At 39.8% G+C, this 22,699-nt stretch overlaps 1 protein-coding gene across 5 annotated transcripts in view, besides 3 other annotated features; it reads right to left on the reverse strand.

The window, feature by feature from the left end:
* ESRRG (estrogen related receptor gamma) overlaps positions 1-2,559 on the reverse strand; it is a 634,457-nt gene extending 631,898 nt beyond the window's left edge. For all 5 annotated transcript variants that reach the window (XM_017000625.2, NM_001243511.3, NM_001243510.3 and 2 more), the window contains exon 1: positions 2,524-2,559. The gene's annotated coding sequence lies outside the window, so the exon portion shown is untranslated. The remainder of the gene's footprint in view (positions 1-2,523) is intronic.
* Positions 854-1,565: an enhancer, noted in NCBI's record as "H3K4me1 hESC enhancer chr1:217309339-217310050 (GRCh37/hg19 assembly coordinates)". NCBI's record gives its function as "activates a minimal SCP1, AML or CMV promoter by ChIP-STARR-seq in naive H9 embryonic stem cells {active_cell/tissue: H9 hESC(naive)}" and the evidence as "EXISTENCE:reporter gene assay evidence [ECO:0000049][PMID:30033119]".
* Positions 1,566-2,276: an enhancer, noted in NCBI's record as "H3K4me1 hESC enhancer chr1:217310051-217310761 (GRCh37/hg19 assembly coordinates)". NCBI's record gives its function as "activates a minimal SCP1, AML or CMV promoter by ChIP-STARR-seq in primed H9 embryonic stem cells {active_cell/tissue: H9 hESC(primed)}" and the evidence as "EXISTENCE:reporter gene assay evidence [ECO:0000049][PMID:30033119]".
* Positions 2,988-3,698: an enhancer, noted in NCBI's record as "H3K4me1 hESC enhancer chr1:217311473-217312183 (GRCh37/hg19 assembly coordinates)". NCBI's record gives its function as "activates a minimal SCP1, AML or CMV promoter by ChIP-STARR-seq in primed H9 embryonic stem cells {active_cell/tissue: H9 hESC(primed)}" and the evidence as "EXISTENCE:reporter gene assay evidence [ECO:0000049][PMID:30033119]".

Here is a 22,699-nt window from a genome sequence, read left to right on the forward strand (position 1 = left end):
TGCGAAAGGAAAGGTCTCCATCTGGACGCACCTCGTCCCCTCCCCCAGCGCGCGGGGCAGCCCTCTAGGGCCAGCTCGGGCACGCGCTTTTCCCCCTCCTCACCCCCTGCTCCGCCCAGCCCCGTACAGTTTTATTCTTTATGAAACACACACGCCCACCCCGCCTCCCACGTAAAGGCCAGTCTTGACTCATTTTGCGCCCAGATGCAAACTCAGCTGGAAGTTGAGGGTAGGGCCAAAGAGGTGAGGGGAGGGTAAGAGATACAGCGAAATAGAGAATGAGAAGGGAGAAATCAAAGGGGGAGGAGGGACAAGAGAAAGCGTGTGGAGCTGGAGGTTGAAGGGGCAGAGGCGGAGGCCAAGGACTGAGCAAGGGGCGCGCGCGCGGCGGCGGCGGCGGCGGTGTTGGCGGCGGCGGCGGCAGGGCGGCTGCACCTCCTCCCAGCCTTTTCGCCCGCGCGCGCGAAGCGGGGTCAGGCGCGGACCCACATTCACCGACTGCAGAACTGTTTTCTTTGCCACTACCAGAGGGTGTTTCGGGGCTCCCCACGGTCTTCTCCCTGGCTGCTTGCCGCGTGAGAGCAGAAATAAAACAAAACAAATCACGGGACACGACGGAGTCGGGCCGCTGGGCGCCTCCGGGATCGCTCTCACTTTGCACTCGGAAGCGGGCGCGGGGATTCGGGCTGCCGCGTGTAGCCTATAAATAGCAAACTTTTTGACCGAAGCAACTAACAAATAAGAGGAGCAGGCGTGCATTTTGCTCAAGATCCCCCCTTTTCTGGGGACGACCTTACTCCCACCCCCGCCCCCTTTGCAGTAGTTGTGAGGGGATAGATTGGGAGAGAGAGATGAAATTTAATTTTATTAGAATTTACAGTAGTGGTGTTAATTTTTGCGGAAGGGGGTAAGAATCTCGCCATTTATCTGACCTTCTCTACCCACCTACCTTTGCTACCCTTCTCCCCCACCCAACAACTGGCACTGGATGGGAAGGGCAAAGAGCGGAGCTCCCAGGGAGGGTGGCTGTTGAAGACAGGGGGCGGAGGGCGATCCGGAGCCGGGTTTCTCTCTGGGAGTACCGGAGTGAGTGGGAGGGAAAGGGAAAGCAACGCCAGGAGTTGGCGTTTTCCTGAGGTACTGGGACAGGAATTTAGGTAACCCAGAATTTTAGATGGAAGTGCGAAAGGTGAGTGCGGAAGGCACAAAGGAGTTCCTGCAGTGCAGATTTCCTTTCCCAGAAGCGACAATAACCCACTCAGCAACTTTACTTCAACCCTAGGCTCTGGCCTACCGGGAGGGCAAACGCGGGCACCCGGGTCACGTCATCGCTTGCTTGGGGGCGCCAGCTCTAGCGTAAGCCTGAGCTGCGAGATAGCTCCGTGGGGTTTTGCCATGGGGTCTTGCTTACTAATCACCCCGCACGCCCTCACCCCTGTCCCTGGACGCCCTTTTGCTGCACCCGCTCACATCTGCAGACCCAACGGATGGGATCTACTTGACTGAGATTCCTGAACACAACTTACTGCCCGCCCTTCCCCTTTCCTTTTGGCCAGGCCGGATTGTGGGTGGTGATTGGCTCAGTAGGATTTTCATTTTCATTCTAGGTGCTTCCTTAAAAATAAAGCCCCCCGAATATAACAGACACTCGCTCCATACACCAAACTTCCCAGTTCCTGAGGTTGCTACGCTAAATTTATCCTGAATGTCGCACAGAAACCAGGGTCAATAGGACGATCAGCACGGATGGGTGTGGGGATTGAGGAAATTGGAGATATTGCAGCTGACGCCAGGTACCGGGAGAGGAGAGTCCGCAGATGCAGGGACGTTGCTCTGCTCCTCTTTGGACGTTCTCTGCCTCAGTGTCAGGCCTGCGAAATGGGAGTCAAGCCCGTCCCGTGGGCCTAAAGCGACTAGTAGCTGGGGGGGAGGGAGCCGGAGGACAGTGGTGCTTTTTCTTTCCAGTGCCCCACCTCTGCCCAATGCCAGCAGCCAGTACACTACACAAGAGGTCAAACGCCTAACCTCTACTAGTACCCCAAAGGGCAAAAACCAAACAGGGTCCCCCATGCAGTTTATGTAGTGGCGTTGCTGACCCAATCGCGCCTTTCCTAACACCGCTGCCCACCAGTTACCTCCTCCTAAGACCGCTTCCCACTAGTTACCTCCTCTTAAACGCAAAAGTTACTCTGTCCCAGAATCCAGTTTGGAAAGAGTGGAAAAATGCAGAAATACTAAGGGGGCTCAGGCAGTAGCTCCCCCTGCGGGGTGTGCCCACCGCCCATGGCTCCACGCAGGCGTTTGCGCGCGTCTCCCTTTCCAGCCCCCGCGAAGACCGCGCCTGGGGCTCGAGAGCTGACGGACTGCCCTTTCCAGGCTGCCCCAAGGGCCTGGGAGGCTGCGGTACCGCCTGTCGGTCCCGGTCCCGAGCGCGCTTGCTTAAGAGTTCTCAAAGACGGGGTTGGAAGCAGTACAGACGTCCCCGGTTATCGCTGCCGGGCTTGTGCGCCCCACGCCACCTACCTGTCCGGCCTTCCCGCTCCAATTGCTGACCCGTTTAGGGAGCCCGGCCTGGAGCCCGCCGCCTCCAGAGGAGCCCGCCCTCGCCCTCCCCCGCGCGCCTCCGCTCTCTGGGACGCCTGGCCAAATGCGGGGCGGTCTCTCGCGGGCCATTGGCTTGGGCCACCGTTCCGAGTCAGCTCCTAGGATTTCCCCAGGCTTTGCGGCCCCTTTGTGGGTCTAGGCCAGCGCCTCACCTTGCACCCTATTCCACCTCCAGTCCCCTTAGGTGCCCCCGCATCCCTCCTCCAGAGTCCAGGCTTTGAAACTGCAGCAACTCCGCAAAGAAAGCCTTTGGGAAAACCTCCTAGAGGGCCGAATGTGGAGGTCGGGTGGGTGGGTGGGTGGGTACTCGCGGCATTTCTCAAGGTTCTGGGTGTTCGTAACTAGGGGAACAGGCCCTATGGGGGCAGAAATGACAGACGCACGAACAGCGTCTCTGTGGCTGTCTGCAGCGCGAGGTTCACGTCTATTGTTTTATGCCTCCGGGAGAGCTACCCCGCGTGATAGATCTTTTCAGATCCATCACTGGAAGAAAAACCCTGGTGATAACGATTATCTCCCGCTCGCGCTATCTCGCCATCGCCCCAATTCATCTCCCTCTGGCTCTAGCCCCTTGGGGAGACGAGGAGGGCGAGGCGCTGGCAGGAGGACCGGCCAAGCCGCTGTCCTCGGATGGAGAGGAGAGGGAGAGGCACGAGGCCACCTCATTCGTCCCTTTCCGCTTCGGGCTGGGGAGACAGGACACCGAGGGTTTCTTTCTGTCTCTGCCAAGCCTCACGCTTCTTTCAAATGATTTTAGCCTGGTGCTACGGTCTATCCATATACATTTCCAATCTCATGGCTCATAAACTATTAGCAAAATGGTTTCATTATTCACCTTCTGTATCCTACAAAAGGGAGAAAAGAAAGGAGCGGGAGGAAGGCACAGTGGGGGCGGGGGACAGTCGTCGGACACTAGTTAACAATGATGCCTCCGGTGTTTAAATCATAGCTCAGACTGCTTTCTTCAAGCCGACACTCAACAAATCTGGTCTGTTTCCAAGGATCTGTAGCCGACCCCTTCTCCCCCTCCCCCTCTCCTCTCTGTCTCTCTCTCCATCCATCATATCCATCTCTCCTTAATACTTGGTATTCTGGAAGGACCAGATGAATAGCGAGATACTGCAAATCCATTATTTGCTTCATTAGGTGTCATCAATAAGGCACGCCCTTTAGATACGACACACATAATTAATTGGTTAGATTTGCTATCCCTGGCCTCCTTTTGGGTGGTGTTGGTGATGGGATCATGTGGCATCCCTGAAACCATGTTAAGACAAAAGTCTAGGTTGATAACCAAGAAGTTGACTTAGAGATCGGTGTGGCCTTAAGGTGCCCAACTCGGCACCAAGTCCTCATCTGGCTTCTGCAAGTGGGGAAGTTGCAATGAACGATGTGTGGGAGTGTGGGTGAATGTGGGCGTGCATAGGAGCGCCTGCCCCTGTGAATGTGTATAGGCAGGAGAATGAGGCGGGTTGGGCCGGGGGGTGCTAACAGATTTCAGAGAGAGGGAAGATGCAGTCAACAGCTCTTACTCAAGGTCTTTGGTGGATTCTGAGAAGTGTAACACACACACATACATACACACAGTCAACCCAAATGAAAACACAAATAGAAGCAAAGTGACACATGGAGGCCTGAGAACCTAGGGCAAAGGGCTAAATAAGGCAGAAAACTGCGGGCAGGCGGGAGCTGGCAGATGCAGCCTTGGGCCAGTGGAACCTGGACCTGCTCCTCCGATGAGGTCGATGATGATATTAGGTGTCTCCGCGAATACTGTTACTTTTCATATAAATATTTTTAAATCTAGAATGACTATCACTCCCCCTCCAATACATACGTACTCTTCCCCTGAACTTTTTGAAAATATAAAGGACGCTAGGCAAGTGAGCTTGCGGTAATTATCCCTGGATAGAGAAACCAATCTGGCTGGGAGAGGCCCCTCTGCAATTGCCGGCGGCGGCGGCGGTGCGCGGGCCCGCGCAGAGGCCGGGGACTTCGGGCGCTTGCTAGGTCACCGCGCCGGGCGACCGCCGCTCGCCGGCTATTTAATATACATGGGGTGGGAACGGAGCGAAGCGGATCTCCGAGCCTGCCTGTCCTGCAGAAAAAAAAAATCAATTTGCTATTTATTTTTGAAATATATAGATTTAGGGAATGTTTTTTCCAGCTCGACCCCCTTCAAGAATGGCGGCCCACATTTAATTACGTCTTTTAATGACTTTTCCCTTATTTGCCATCGCTATTCCACGTTAAGGGCGGGGGCGGGGTGGAGTTTCTTTGGGGGGTTTTCAATTCTGGTATCTTCAAAAAGATTTGCCTTATGTGTTAATTGCATGCTGTTAAGCACATCTGGGACTGTGTGCTGACCAACTCAGACCAACTTTTAATTAACACATTGACCCGGAGAAGAAGCAGCCGCCCAGCCTCCCCCTCTAAATATGTATATTAGCCACGCGGAGGCGGCTCGGCCCGCGCCGCCAGATGCAAGCAAGGAATTGCCTGCGTCGAGGGGCGGGAGGGGGTGCAAATTGCAACGGTTCTCTCTCTTTCTGTGAGCGTTTTTTCTCGCCTCACCTCTAGGAAAACAACAAAGAAAAAGAGTAAATGACCGGCTCCTGAATCAGGCTTCTTACATCCTTTAGGCGTGACTTGACCCCAGGCAGGGGGCTTGGAGGAATGGGAGGGAAGGCCTGCTAGAGCTATTTTCTAACCAACCTGCCTTGGGCCTGAGTGACGACTCCAGCCTGGGCTCTTGGAGTGGACCGAATTCTACTAATGAATATGGGAATGCCCTAGGATCCTGGTGGAAGGAGAGAACGAGCCACTGATTGCCTTTTGCGGTTCTGCTCTTCCTCCTTCCAACCTCCTCGCCTTTGCCGGAGGCTCTCCGAGGCTAAGCCACAAACTCTAGGGCTCCGGGTCCCAGAAAAAGGAATACTTGTGTTCCCCCCTCCCCCACCCCTTCGCCGTATCCCTGCTTGGAGCACGCTGTAGTCAAGATAGGGTAACGGAAATGAGTGGCTATTTTTAGGACTCCAGGCCCTTTCCCAGAGGTCTAGGCTATTCAGGGGTGATATTTAGCAAAGGCCAGTCAAACTCATGTTGGAGGGATAAATAAACCTGGAGCACAGCAGAGATGATGCCGCCTGCAGATATGCAATTTCACCCTAAGTAATTTCATTCAGGATTGATGGCGTTTCACTGGAGTGATGCCTTCAAAGTGAGTGCCTAGCTTGCTTCCCTGTAGAGCACAAATGCGGGTTAATCCCCAAATACGTACTCATTTTCTCTTTTCGCATCTAATCTCAACTGCCTCGCTCTTCTAAGTGCTTAGCTTCTGCACACAAGCCTATATAAAAATGTCAGAGTGGTATTCCTTCTCCCAGCCATAAAGAAGTTGGAGTGAATCACTCCCAAGTCACCATTTAACGTCCCCTCCAGGTAACAGTTGAAGTTTCCTGTTTGACATTTTTCATTCCCCAATACAGAACTTTTCAATAAATAAGCAGTGCTAGCGTGAGGAGAAGCCTATGTCACAATAAATTCACAGCTATATGCTCTAACTATGTCGATGCTTTGGAAAATTTAATGTGACAAGATTGCGCCCCAAATTCCTTCCACCTCTTTTTTTCCTTATTCTTATTCTCCTTTTTTTGTCCTTCTCTTGAGTCTACTTTTCCTACCCACTTATCAGAGAATCTGCAAAATTTGAGACTAAAAGAATAGAAAAGATAAAGACAAGAAAACAAAGTTCTATTACTCAGTATTCCTCTCAGCTCCTCCACATCTTTTTATATTCAGATAAAGGTGTAATCAACCTATATCTTTAGACAGGGAAAAACCAATCAGCTGGTAAATTACAATGTCCCTTTGCAAAGATAAGGCCTTTGGAAAGTTAGCACAAGTATCACCCAAACCCAGCTTTATTTTGAGTTTTAGTGGGCCACAGCTACTTATTTCAGCTCACAAATTGATCTGCAAAATTGGAGCCCACACCTGATATCCAGGGGAAAACAAGAGTTGGTAACTCCAGTTGATTCTTCTTTTGATTTACTCTGCCTGGTAAGATGTATGCTGGAGTGTTCTGATAAGAAAAAGGAAAAAAAAAAAAGGAGTCAGCAGTTTGTTTCGGAAACTCTTATTGCTGAATATGGTTGCAGGTTTAAACTAAAGAATGTGTTTCTGCTGGGGACATTTGCATGACACATCCATATGCATTAGCAGCTGCACGGTGTTATATCATCAGTTCCTGTGAGCATTTATCTTTTTTTCTCCCTTCTGTCTTTCTCAAAGGAAGTAGGTAAGTGGCTTATAGGAAAACCATATAGACTTTAAAGATGTGTAAATCTTCCTGTTTCCTTCAGGCCCTCAGCACCTAAGTGGCCTGTAACAACCTATTTCTTTGGAAGATTTTGGAATATTTGAAGTAAGTAGCCTCCCTGGTTACTTTTTAAAATCAAAATAATGAATTAACAGTGTATGAAATATAATAAAATAATTATCTAGAGAAAGAGGCCTTGATGATTCAACTCTGTAGTCAAAAAAAGGCACTGTCATCAATGTCCTTCTGATTTGCTTAGAGACATTCCAGAGGAACTTTTCATTAGATAATTCTTTATGCCATCAGTCTTCACTTTTTGATACTTGATGGAGGTAATACATTTGAAGGAAGGTAGCTAAGACCTTGGCATGTCGGCATGTAGTGATGATGTCAGAGAGCACAACAGCAGTTCTGGAAGATGTTTGCTTTCCCAGACATTGTATGATGGTACAGGGGCCATTGTCTAACATCCACAGCAATTGTCTGCCCTGAATCCTACCAATACTGTATTTCATGTGTCTGATTCTCTGAGAATTCCAGTGGTCTGTAAGCCACAGGAACTACAATGTCAAATTGGAATCAGAAAAAAAATTCAATTCTTATTTTGTCTGACTCAGTTCAGTCACTCAGGGCATTTTTTTTTAAAAAAAGAAAACTGTGCATTTTAACATTGGGGTAACTAGGAAGAATTTGGACTCAAAACCAAGAGATATAGCATAAGTACATTTTTTGAAATCACTTCTCATTTGTGGTCAATGTTTCATGGAATTATTTGCAAATAATCTGAATCATCCTCAGATGTTTCTAGTAAGTCAAATTCAAAGTGTGGGTATATTGCAAAGTGAAACAAAAACCTTACACACGCACACACACAAGCAAACAAAAAGATAACCCTTACCAGGAGTTATGATGACTAACAAGATATGCTAGTAAAGATATGGGTTTTCATCCATGTTGTAGTGTTTTGGGCACAAAAAAAGGTATTTAGAAAAAAATGAAATGACAATAATTAGTAAAATAGTGCCATCCATTTTTTTCTAACATACTTGGAACTAATAGGCACTATTGTACAAAGGTGCATGTGCAATGACACATAAATATGCGTGAGTCTAAATAATAATCTATTTTAATGTCTTGTTTCCAGATGTTTGCAAATACTACCAGTACATTGAATTGACCTAACCAAAAAGTAGCTAAGATCTCTGCCATTCAATTAAATCCTAGGTGTTTTACATATCACATGGAACAACTTTCTCTTGCCCTCCATTACACAAAAGGTTTTTGGCAAAAAACAACAAACAAACAAACAAAAAAACCTCTTTAACTTTAAAACAGTAATTCAGTATAATATGGGTGAAAGTAAAAACTGTTATTTGATATTATATAATGGAAAATATTACCAACTTCAGTATTTTACTCAACTATTTCAGTGATAATTAGAACATCCAATTGTTGGGGCTAGCTAGCTTAGCTGTTCAGATTAGAACATGGTACAGAATTGATCCTGTGGTTAATTGTGCCTGTACTTGAGAGTCACATACTGCATCCCTTAATCCAATCAGCCCTGGACACTTGTGTGCCAGAGGTGATTGGAGGGCCAACCAAGAATGTAGACGAATCTGCACGTATCAAAGAAAAACCTTATTTTAAAAAGAACATATGTTACTTGCAGCATTAAATACAGAAGAGAGGGAGTATATGTTTGCAATTCAAATGAAATCTTTTGGGCAAAATTTATGAGAGAGCAGAAAAAGGGAGCAAAGAATACCTAATTGAGGCTACAAAGAGAGCTTAGGCATGATGAAGAAAACTACTATACCTACTTTGATATTGGTATATAATTTAAAACTTTTATAGATAGGATGCTACTACTTCAAAGTATATCCATTTTATCTTTTTAAGGTAAAGAGAAGATTTGTTTGTTTGCATGCTTTGAGCTTGGATATTGATATTACACATTTCTGGAAGTACTAATGGTATCAGTAAACTTAGGATATGGGAGATCTGAAGGAGTTACATATTTGCTTATTCATTTATCTCTTGGTTATGCTTGCAGAATAATTCCATTTCTCCCTCAAAGACTTTCTTTGTTATGGGTCATAATATCATAGCCTCTTTGAAATATGATGGCTAACAAAGATAAAACATAGACCATTACAACTCGTCATCCTTGGTTCAGCAGATACAAATCAAAAACAGAGAGAAGCTTTGTTAAGTCAGTACTTAATTCTATGGCCATTTATTCATACTCATTTCCAAGAACTATGAGCTAGGTAATGTCTGTGCAAATGCCAATGATTGCAGTCTGGAAAGTAAGTAGCTTAGAAGTCACCACTCTTTCCTAACAACAAGTTAAAAAAAAAAAAAAACTGATCGGACTGAAAAATCTACAAATCTTCTTAGATCTGCCAGAGAAATGAAGTCATAGGGCAAACAACTGTCCCAAAAATTGGAGAGACAGGCAGTTAAGAGAATCATAACTTACTGGAGCAGGTACTTAGGAGTAGAAACCTCTGTAGGAACCAGTGCCAGGGTAGAAAAACCTAAACTGTAATTGACAAATTGCTGGAGGCTCAATGTGGACAAATCTGAGAGTTAAAGACTCCAAAAACCTCATTCATAGGTTGGCCCCTACACTTTTTTCTGTTCCTCCTCCTGGAACTCTACCAGGTTCTCACAGTGAATATCTGAGAAAAATCCCCTTGTATGTTCAGCAGGGAGAAAGGAAAAGGAACCATTTTGAAATACTTCAGAGCATTCTGTTTTTCTGAACAAGGCCTAACCTCAGGAGAAGCTATTTTTCCAGAGCCTTATTAGAGTTTTATCAGAGCCTAGTCTACTTGGAGGAAGGGCAACGCCCAACTCCAGTGATCACTAGCCATTGCGTCCAACATAGGGAGGGGTGACAGGGAGGCACTGGTGAAGCTCATAGCCCAGAGACACAGGTTGACCAAAAGACTAGGGCCTAATCATAGGACTATAGAACACTTCCCTTCCCCTACGCCTTGTCACCACATTACTAAAGGCCTATTTATTTTAGTTGCTTTTACCCAGTACATCATGTTCACCTTTTAATGAAAAAATTACAAGGTATACTAAAAGGCAAAAAAGTTTGAAGAGACTGAACGGGCGTGAGAAGGAGTCAGATATGACAGGAAGTTTGGGATTTTCAGACCAGGATTTTTTTTTTAATAAGATGAGTATGCTAAAGGCTTTAATAGAAAAAGTAGAAAATATGCAAGAACAGATGGACAATGCAAGCAGAAGTATGGAAATTTTAAGAAAGAAACAAAAAAATGCTAGAGATCAAAAACACTGTAAAAGAAATGAAGAATACCTTTGATGGGCTCATTAGTAAACTGGACACAGCTGAGAAAAAAAACCGTGAGCCTGAGGCTATGTCAATAGAAACTTCCAAAACTGAAAAGCAAAGAGTAAAAGTCTGAAATAAAAAACAGCATTTCTAAGAAATGTGGGAAAACTGCAGAAGATGTAACATACACACAGTGGGAATGCCTGAAGCACAAGAAAGGAACAGAAGCAACATTTGAAGCAATAATGACAGAATTTTTCCAAATTAGTATCAGACACCAAATCACAGATACAGGAAGCTTGGAGAACTCCAAACAGGATAAACGCCAAAAATCCCCCAAACTATGTGTAGCCATATCATATTAAAACTCTAGAAAATCAAAGATAAAGAAGAAATCTTTAAATATGGCAGAGAAGAAAAAGATGTTACCTATAGAGGAGCAAATATCTGAATTGCATCCAATTTCTCCTCAGAAATCACACAATCAAGAAAAGAATGGAGTAAAATTTTTAAAGTATTGAGAGAAAAAACTCTAAGACATGTAATTTTATACCCTGTGAAATTATTCTTCAAAAGTGAAGGAGAAATAGACAACTTCTCAAAAAAAAAAAATTAAGTGACTTTGTTACCAGTAGACGTGTCTTGCAATAAATCTTTTTAAAAGTTCATCAGAAAAAAATATGATATAGGTAAAAAATGTGGATCTACATAAAGAAAGACAGACCATCAGAGAAAAAATAAGGTAACACAAAAGCTTTTATTTTCTTACTTTTTAATTGATTAAAGAAATAACAGTTTGTGCAAAATAATAATAGCAACAATGTATTTTATCATTTATACATATATATATGGGCTTATGTATGTGTACGTATTTGGGAAATAAATGGCAGCAATAATACTAGACATGAGAAGGAGGAATAGAAATATTTTATTATAAAGTACTGATATTACCTGTGAAGTAGAAAACATTATTTAGAAGTAGGCTTGGATTACTTATAAATGTATATTGCAAATTCTAAGCCAACCACTAAAAAAAAAATGATAGAAAAAGTAGTTTAGCTGATATTCTAAGAGAGAAGAGAAATTATAATAATGTAAAATGCTCATTTAAAAATCTCAAAAGGCAAAATAGAGTGGAAGACAAAATTGGAACAAAGAACAAGTGTAACAAATAGAAAACAGTAACAAATATAGTAGATATTTTAGTCCAAGTATATCAATAATCACTTTGAACATCGATAGTCTAAATGCACCAATTTAATGACAGACATTGTCAGAAGTAATCAAAACAGAAGACCTGACTATATGTTGTCTATGAGATACTTACTTTAAATATAAAGAAACATATAGATCAAAAGTAAAGAGATCAAGAAAGATATATCCTGTTAACCCTAATCCAAAGAAGGTGAAAGGAGCTATATTAATTTCAGACAGAGCTGACTTCAGAGTAAGGAAATTTATCAGAGTTAAAGAGGGGCATTACATAATGATGTAATACTCCAAGAAGACATAGCATATTTGATGCATGCACCCAGCAACAGAGCATCAAATATGTAAAGCACAAACTGATAGAACTCCAAGGATAAATATATCAATCTATTATTAGATTGAGTTGGAGACTTAAAACATCCCTAGCAGAAATGGACAGATCCAGCAGGCACAAAATCAGTTAAGGACATAGATGAACTCAACAGCATCACCAATCAACTGAACATAATTGACATCTATACATGACATTGTCCGAGAACAGCAGTTTACACATTCTTCTCAAGCTCACATGGAACATTCACCAAGATAGAACACATTCTAAGCCATAAAACACACCTTAATAAATTTAAAAGAATAGAAATCATACAATGTCTGCTCTCAGATCACAGTGGAATTAAACTACCAATGATTAACAGCTGGAAAGTCCCCAGATACTTACAGATTAAAAGCACACTTTTAAGCATGGGTTGAAAAAAAGAGAACTCTCAAAAGAACTTAAAAAATATTTTGAATTAAATGAAAATGAAAATACAAAATATCAAAATGGAAACATTGAAATATTAATGTTTGTGAGATGCAGGGAAAATAGTGCTTAAAGGAAAATTCATAACATCCTTAGAGAAAAATTTATAGCATTGAATGCATATACTAGAAAAAAATAAAGATCTAAAGTAAACAATCTAAGCTTCTAACTTTGGAAAGTAGAATATGAAGAGTAAATTAAATTCAGTGTAAAGAGAAAAAAAGAAATAACTGAAATTAGAGCATAAAACAATGAAATTAAAAACAGGAAATCATAGAGAAAATCAAAACCATTAGCTATTTTTTAAAAGATCAATATAATTGATAAGACTTTAGTCAAGCAATCTATGAAAAAACATGGAAGACACAAGTTACTAATATCAGTAATGAAAGAGGGAGCATCACTATATATCTTATGAACATTAAAAGGATAATAGTGAAATATTATGAACAATTGTATTTCTGTAAATTTGATAACTTAGGTGAAATGGACCAATTCCTTGAAGGACACAAGCTGCCAAAACTCACATGAGAAGAAATAGACAACTTGAATAGGTCTATATTTATTAAAGAAATTTAATCAATAATTAATCTTCTCAACAGAATGAAATGTATTTGGTGGATTCTACCAAACATTTAAGGAAGAAATTATACCAATTTTCTACAATGTCTTCCAAAAAATAGTAACAAAGAGATTATTTTCTGATTCATTTTATTAGGCCAGCATTACTCTAATATCAAAAGTGGATAAAGACATAACAAGAAATGACAACTACAACCACATATCTCTCATGAACATATATGCAGAAATCCTAAACAAAATATTAGCAAATATAATTCAAAAATATATAAAAATAATTATCCACCACAACCAAGGGGATTTATCCCAGGTATACAAGGCCGGTTCAATATTCAAAAAAAACAATTAATGTAACTTATTATATCAACAGACTAAAAAAGAAAAATCACATCATCATATAAATAGATGCATTTGACAAACCCAACATTCATGTATGCTAAAATTCTCAGCAAACTGGGACTGGAGGGGAAATTTCTCCACTTGATAAAGAACATTTACAAAAAACCTACAGCTAAAATTATAATAATAATGAAAAACTTGAAGTTTTCCCAATAAGTTTAACAACAAGGGGAGGATGTCCCCTCTCACCACTGCCTTTCAACATTATCCTAGAAGTCCTAGCTAATGCAATAAGACAAGAAAAGGAAATAAGAAATAAACTGATTGGGGAGGAAAAAGTAAAACTGTCTTTGTTCTCAGACAGCACAATTGCTTATGTAGAAAATCTGAAAGAGTCAACAACAACAACGAAACCTCCTGGATCTAATAAGCAATTATAGCAAGGTTGCTAGATCCAAGGTTAATCTACAAAAGCCAAGCACATTCCTATATAGTAGCAATGAGCAAATGGAATTTGAAATTAAAAACATATTACCATTTATATTAGATAGAAAAACTGAAATGTTTACATATAAATCTAACAAAACATATACAAAATCTAAATGAGAAAAACTACAAGACTAAAGAAAGGTATCAAATAAATATATAAATGAAGAGACATGGATACAAAGACACAATATTGTCAGTATGTCAGTTTTTCCCAACTTGATCTATAGATTTATTGTAATCCCAGTAAGTTTTCTCAATAAAATCCCAGTAAGTTATTCTGTAGATATTGACAAACTGATTCTGAAGTTTATATGGAAGGCGAAAGACCCAGAATGGCCAACTCAATATTGAAGAAGAAGAACAAAGTCAGAGGGCTGACATTAGTCAAATTTGAGACTTACTATAAAGCTACAGTAATCAAGACAATGTGGCATTAGTGAAAGAACAGACAAATAAATCAGTGGAACAGAACGGAGAGCCAAGAAATAGGCTTACACAAATGGAGTCAAGTCATCTTTGAAAAAGGAGCAAGGCAGTAGAATGAAGCAAAGATAGTATTTTCAACAAATGATGCTAGAACAACTAGATATTCACGTGCAAAAAAAAAAAAAAAAGAATCTAGACACAGATTTCACACCCTTCACAGAAATTACCACAAAATAGATCATAGATCTAAATGAAAATCACAAAACTCTGAAACTCCTAAAAGATAACACAGGAGAAAACCTAGATGACATTTCATATGGTGGTGACTTTTCAGATACAGCCCCAAAGGCAGGATCCATGAGAGAAACAATTAATAAGCTGGACCTCATTAAAATTAAAAACTTCTGCTCTGTGAAAACAATATAAAGTGAAAGAGAAAAACAGCCACAGAATGGAAGAAAATATTTTCAAAAGACACATATGATGAAAGACTGTTATCAAAAATATACAAAGAATTCTTAAAACTCAAGAGTAAGAAAATGAGCAACCCAATTCAAAAGTGAGAAAAAGACCAGAACAGACACCTCATCAAAGAAGATGTACAGGTGATATGTAAGCATATGAAAAGATGGTCCACCTCATATGTCATTAGGGGACTGCATGTTAAAACAAAATTCAGATACCACTGCAGCCTTATTAGAATGGACAAAATCCAAAACACTGATGACATCGAATGCTGTCAAGGGTATAGAGCAAGACCAAACAAGCACTCTCATTCATTGCTCATGGGAATGCAAAGTGGTATAGCCACTTTTGAAAACAATCTAGCAGTTTCTTACAAAAGTAAACATGCTGTCTCTTACCATGTGATCTGGCTGTCACACTCCTTGTTATTACCCAAATGAATTGAAAATTTATGTCCACACGAAAACCTACACATAGATGTTTATAGGAGCTTTATTAATAATTGTCAAAAATTGAAAAAAAACAAAAGATATTTCAATAAGTGAATGGACAAATTGTAATACATCCATATTATTCAGTGTTAAAAAGAAATGTTATTAAATTATAAAAATACATAGAGGAAACTTAAATAGTTATTACTAAGTAAAAGAAGCCAATTTGAAAGACTCCATACTCTGATTCTAAGTACATGACATTCTGAAAAAGACAAAACTATGGAAACATTAAAAAGATAAATGGTTGCCAAGGGTTAAGGGAGAGGGGGGAATGAATAGGCAAAGCATGGAGGATTTTCAGGGAAGTGAAATGTTTCTGTATGATGAATGGTGGATATATGTCATTATAAATTTGTCATAATGCATAGAATGTACAACACAAGTTTACCCTAATGTAAACTATGGACATTGGTAATGATGTGTCAATTTGAGTTCCTCAGTTATAACAAACATACCACTGTTGACAGTGGGAAGGATTATGGGTGTGTGGGAACAGGGAGCACATGGAAACTTTCTGCTCATTTTTTGCTGGGAACTTAAAACTACTGTATAAAATAAAATTTATTAATTAGTTATTTTTAAAAGCCAATGATTTGTCATGATATTAATAAATTGTTATTAGCATATTTCAGCTCCTAGGCACTAGGTCCTGCTGCTTTGTAAAATCTTTCCATAAATATTTTTATTTCTATTCATTAACAATGAGGGAGAGTGAATACAATACTGAATGTGAAAATATCCTTGTAAATAGCATGAATTAATGCAACAAAATCAACTCCAAGAAATATTTCCAAGACAGAAAACAGGCATGTTTTGAAGGATTTTTAGTATTACATTAAGTGGAACAATACAATACAATACAACTGGGAAGCATAATTTACATTATATAACATTACATTTTCCAAATAATTCTTTCTGTAAAACCCTTTAAAGCAAGTTTTAATACCCATTTTGCAAGTGAGGAGGAAAAATAACTTGGGTAGGTAATAGAGCCAAGTATATAGCAGAGCCAGGATTCAAACTCTAGTTTGTTTTATCCTCACCCACACTCTGAAGCACTCTCCTAGTTTTATACATCAGTCTTTCATGAGCTCTGGTAACATGAGTCTAGTCCTCGGAAGTGGACAGCCTTGACATAGTGTCAAAATCAAGTTTCTGAAGCACCATATCCTGGACCTGGTAAATTCTCCAGGACTGTAAGATACTACCATGGAAAGTCTTGTGGCAGGCAGCAAACTGACCTTTTTCCTGATGCCTCTATCTTCCCGTGTGCTTTTATTGAAAGTGAAGTAGCCACTTCATAATGGCTACAAAAGAATTATTTGAGAATGTCTGAATCTGTACCATGGATAAGGATGATATAATATTAGCAAAAAGATAAAAGCAATTACAAATGGCATACAGGGGGGATATTAACTTCTATAGTTTTTATTTATAAATTTATTAAAGAAATTTGAAACTCTCATGCATGGATGGCTTTACTAAATGCTTTTATATTTTTTATCATCCTTCATCCTTTTTTTCCCTGTGCATCCAATTGTCTTGTCAGGATGGATTGAAATCATTTCCTTGTCTAACGGCTTTCAAAATAATTGCAAAGAATACCAAGGCTCTCAAATCCTAGTGTTAGTTCTCCAAAGTTTACACTCCACCTCTTGTCTTTATCATATTGCTAACCATATTGCTAAGCTGTAGCTACTCTCCAGATCTGTTCAAAGCCAGCATTTAAGAGGACTGCTTTCCTTCAATGGGCTCTCTGAAGTGACTGCTACCAGCTATTTATTACTTGGAAATAGTTTTGGTGTTTGTAATACTGCAGTTCTGTCTCTCCATCTCTGTCTCTCCTACCTATGTTCTGTGTTTTGTGGGGGCCGAGATTGGGCATTAGGAAGGCACAGTTTATAATCTGCTGGAAAGAATGCTTAACATATTGAGATTGAAACAAAAACAAACAAAAAAAATTTCTGTCCTGTGGAAACAGATTCCTTCTTATATCGAATGTAAACAGCAACCATCCCCTTTGCCTACAGCCACCTGGAAGCTCTCTGGTTAGCCATTTCCAACTCACTGGAATGTAAATCATACATGCATGCATACAGCTGTCTATATTTGGAAAGAATAACCATATTTCCTACAAAAATTTAATTGTTTGGGCAACTCAGTTGGTTAATGGGGCCAAAGGTGAAGTTGCAGCTCTTGTACAATCAGTCCTTCTCACTGTACACAGTCGCTGGTCACAGAGTGAACTCCCAGTCTCCACAGTCTCTTGAAAATGTGTTTATTGGGGGAGAAGGCAGGCAAATCACAAGTTATCGCCACTCTCACTAAAACAGCTCAGAGCTCATGCTTACTGATGATGCGTCTTCAAATGAGGAGAGTAAAACATTGATACCCCTGGTCTCATACACTTTGTTTTCATTTGCAGATTTAGGTAGCATTCAGTCAGCTTGGCCCCTTTGTGGGCAGGATATTTTTCTGTATCATCAGAGCCTGGTGTGGAGGCAGAGTCAGGCTGGTTGCACAGTAAATGTTTCTTCAGTGAGTTAAAGTTACAAAAGTAAATCCAGCTATAAAATACAAGCTAACAAGTCCCATTGCTGGACTTTAAATAAAAAAAAAAAAGAGGAGATGAAAAGAAAAGGATGCGTCGTGACTTTTAAACAGACTATTGACTTTCACTGGAGTGTACAGCTCACATAGTGATTAGGAATCTGCACCATAATTGTTCTTGTCATCCACACACTTGGCTACAGTCGATATCTTTTTATCATATACATTTTTTAATCATGTATTAATAAACAAGAAGTTTGTATTATATTGATGATTGGATTATAATATTGACTAACTCCACAATCTCACACATGGCTTCTGAAAATATAAACAAGGTCAAAATGTAAAGATCACAGAGAGTGCATCAAAGACATAAATTAGCCTCTTTTCCAACTCTCTGTATGACTTGTAGGAGAGCAGGAGAATTTTGAAGTTATTTGTTAATTAAATAAATGATTTGTTCTAGACCAAAGAGAATAACATAAATAAAGATTAAATTAAAATTATTTTATCCTACTGGAATACTGAGTGGTTTTACTTTTGATAAATTTTGGTTGTGACTAATTTGCTGAATAGAATTTGATTTGGGCTGCTTTTAGAATCTTCATTGAGGTTATACAAAAATAAGTCCTCTGGCGGTTGGCAAACAGAAAATGTTCTGTTCAGGAAAGTGGATTTTACTTCACCACCTGCCAAAAAAATTAGGGTTTTCTCCTTCAAAGGCTGGGTTCTTGGAAGAATTAGAATTTTTCCCTTCCGCTTCCTGATATATCTTCTTTCTCTGCAATGCCACCCTCCCCACGCATGGTGTCTACTCCTGGTGCAAGTTGCCCAGCATTCCAGAGATACTTCAGCTAGCTGGCTACACAGGGTGAAAGTACAAACTGTACAAAAGTAAGACAAATTATGCGTAGAAAAATCTCAGTATGATTCATTTCCAGTAGACAAACTCCCAAATACTGCAAACATTTTAACCATTCTTCTTTCCTCTTTTCTTGTCATTAAAACTTCTAGTGTAAACCTAAGGATGGTCCTCATATCATCCTTAGTTACTGGGAAACTGATGGAAACACTTCTCTGGACCCCATCTTGGCCACCTTCTTTACATATGTGGCCTGTGAACTCTGTCTTCTCTCTTGTAATAAACCATATTCCCATGCCTTCAACTTGATCAGGACACTCTGGAAACCACCACCTTGGGTTTTATATCTTTCTTTTTCTAAAGGTTTCCTTTGATTCCCGGTCACTCTTCAAACTGATGTCTTCAGCTCTCCTTCTGTAGTATGATTAATTGTGCCAATGTCAGTTTCTTGGTTTTGATAAGCTACCATAATTGTGTAAGATGTTACCATTGAGGGGAAGCTGGGTGATGGATACATGGGCTCTCCCTGCACTGTTTTGCAAATTCTTTTGTCTGCAATTATTTCTAAACAAAAAAAGTAAAAATCAGATGTATTCATACTAAAAGTTAATTTCACCTACAGCTCATAATTACATGTGAGTAAAAACGTTGCTGCACTCTCAAAATAATCATGCAACTCAGAATTACTGTTGGGGTGAGGTATTGGGGAGGGGAGATTTTTTTACTTATTACAGGAGTTATCTTCTATTTTGAAGTTTTAACTGCTTTTGGAGAGGGGCTTTTGGGAGCTGGATGGTAGAGCATGAGGGGACAGGAGGAGAAACAGATTTAAGCACAAGCATAAGAAAGAGATCGCTTTGTGATGTCTAAGAAGGAGGTAACCAAAAGCACAAATACTTTGCATGTTCACGTAAAGTTGTCTTTCTCACGATGAAATGTATTCAAATAGAATTAATACTTCTTTGGAGTTCTTCATTTGCATCTGTTAAATATGATAATAATACCTTATGTATACAGTAATTTACAATTTTCAAAATTCACATGTATTATCTCTTTGATCTTCATAAAAATTCTGTAACACAGGTAAAGCAGTGATTATTATTCCCATTTAAATATGAGAAAATTGTGGATCAGAGAAGATGAGTGTACTTTCTCAGGAGAAGCTAAGACTTGAACCTGTATTTTCTAATTCCTAGTCAGATGTTCTTCTTAATATACCATATCTTATTAAAATATCCAAGTTTGGAATTTATTTTTATCTGGCTTAAGGAGCAAAAACTACAAAAATTGTTTACTTTGCTTTATCCTTGCTGGTGGGGGATAGGGGAGAGAATTACTTTAAATAGTAGCAATATCCTAAGAAATCACAGGCTGTGAAATACTTAATGAACTTTTTTCCTCCATATATCACTCTGTGACTGTGTCTCCTATGAGAAACTCTCTGGGGCTGTCCCCCCAAGTCTCTCAGCTCTCTGTTTTTCTGGTAATACTTTGACCCTCTTCTCTTCCACCTTGGATATTCTTTTACTTTGCTTTAATTTAGAAACCAAGATTGTTTTTATATTTTATCTTACTTATGTAATAGAATTTTGTAGTCAAGCTTCTTAATTTAAAGAGAGAATTTAAATAATATTTTTCAGTTTCTCATTTATTAAACTACATTATTGATTTTTCCTAAGTGGCCCCTTTTAGTCTTACATGTGTGTTTGCTTTTGGTCCTAGATTCTACCGCCATTGACCTTCCCTAATCACTCAAGCCTATTTTTCACCAGAAAGTTCATTTTGAGCATTACAAGTGATATTCAATATATTAAAATTACACATATAAAATGTCAGGGTTTTTTTGTTTTTTTCTTGTTTGTTTGTTTTGAAACGGAGTCTCACTCTGTCACCCAGGCAGGAGTGCAGTGGTGTGATCTTGGTTCACTGCAACCTCCGTCTCCCGGGTTCAAGCAATTCTCCTGCCTCAGCCTCCCAAGTAACTGAGATTACAAGCATGTGCCACCATGCCTGGCTGATTTTTGTATTTTTAGTAGATATGGGGTTTCACAATGTTGGCCAGGCTGGTCTCAAACTCCTGGCCTCGAGCGATCCGCACGCCTCGACCTCCCAAAGTGCAGGGATTACAGGCGTGAGCCACCGCACTCGGCCAAATGTCAGTTTTTTCATGCCCTTTTAAGATCAGCTATACATATTATGTTATTTTTAAATCTGCAGATTTGATCAATAACTTCAAAGGAGCATTTCAAAAATGTTTATTCCCTTTTACAGACTTATTGAATACCTTTAAGCATTTGAAAAGATTTATAATTTTATTTATTCTAGATTTATTTTTAAATAATTCACTTATTTTTATCTGAATTAACAAATAAAACATTTGCAAGGAATAAATAACTTCTATACATCTAAGAGATTAAACATATGCATATATGTATGGTAAACCCAAAATTTTCTTAGATATTCCAAAAAAATACATACATGTAGTAAGCAATCACCTTATATTCACAAGTCTAAAGCAATTGCTCAATTTCACATCTTCAATAGGAGTTAGAAGGCTATCCCTCCATTAAAAGAGATTTTCTCGTAAAGATACATTAAATATCAAATATGCACATATTCCTTTTAGCATGAAATTTCAGCGCTATGGCTTTTTCACTTTTTATTTTTAAATGTATTAACATACAGTAAAAATGACCCTTTTTTGGTACAGTTCTATGAATTTTAACACATACATAGATTTGTGTAATCACCAATAAAATCAGGATACAAGACACCAAAGTTCCCCTTTAATTCCTTAAAAGTTTCCTTTAATTCTTTATATGACTGCACTCTGCCAATCTTCAAACGTGTGTCTTATAGCTTTCCTTCTGTAGGCTAACCTGCTGTGCCAATGTCAATTTCCTGGTTTTAATAATCTACTGTAGTTATGTCAGCTGTTACCAGGGGGAAAGCTGAGTGATGGACACATGGGACTAGTCTGTACTATTTTTGCAACTAATTTTGGGTCTATAATTATTTTAAAATAAAAAATAAATGTTTCTGTGTTCTCTGTCTGGATGCGTTCCTGTACTCACAATTCATTTTCAGGAGAGAGGTTTATCTATTTTCCTACAGAACAGTTCCATTACTCCCAAAAGCCCCCATATGTAATCATTTTGTAACCACACCCTCTCTCTACCTACCTGAATTGCCAAAGAGTCACTGATCTGGTCCTTGTCATTATAGCTTCATTTTTTCAAGAATGTCATAAAAATGAAATTATACAGTATATACGATTTTGTGAGATGGGCTTCTTTCACTCAGCATGATGCCTCTGAGATTCTTCCAAGTTTTTGCATTATTGATACAGTTTGTTCCTTTTTCTTGCTGAGTAGTATTGCATTGTATGGATGTACTACAGTTTTTTAATCCATTCACTTGTAGAAGGACATTTAGGTTGTTTCCTGTCTTTTGCAGTTATGACTAAAGTTGCTATAAATGTTCGTGTACGGGTCTTTGGGTGCACAAGGTTTCATTTCTCTAGGGTAAATATGCAGGAGTGGGATTGCTGGAATGAATAACATATGCCTAACTTTGTAAGAAACTGCCAAGCTTTTTTCCAGAGTGGCTATACCTTTTCAATATCAATGTATAAGAATTCTAGTTACTCCACATCCTCACCAGCACAGTGTATTAACAATTTTTATTTTAGGAATTTCAGTAGATATGTAAGGGTATCTCATGGTGGTTTCTGCACTTCCCTAATGGCTAATGATGTTAACCATGCTTTCATATGTTTATTCTCCTTCTATATTCTTTTTGGTGAAGTATCCAAGTCTTTGCCTCCACACACCTCCTTTTTGTTTTTGAGACAGGATCTCACTCTCATCACCCAGATGAAGTTTCACTGCGGCTTCGACTTCCCAGGTAGGAACATGCCACACACCCAGCTTTTTTTTTTTTTTTTTTTTTTTTTTTTTTTTTTTTTTTTTTTTTTTAGTTGAGACAAGGTTTTGCCATGTTGCTGAAGCTGGTCTCAAACCTCTGGGTTCAAGTGATCCTTCTACCTCTGACTCCCAAAGTGCTGGGATTACAGGCGTAAGCCACCATGCCCTGCCAATTTTTAACAGGGAGTTTGTGTGTGTGTGTGTGTGTGTATTATTCAGTTCTGGCTATTCTTTATATATTCTGGAAACAAGTCTTTTGTTGGATATGTGATTTGCAAATATTTTCTCCCAGTCTAGCTTGTCTTTTTTCTTAATATTGT

This window comes from Homo sapiens, chromosome 1, assembly GCF_000001405.40.
Source record: "Homo sapiens chromosome 1, GRCh38.p14 Primary Assembly".
In the NCBI taxonomy this organism is placed as follows: Eukaryota; Metazoa; Chordata; class Mammalia; order Primates; family Hominidae; genus Homo; species Homo sapiens.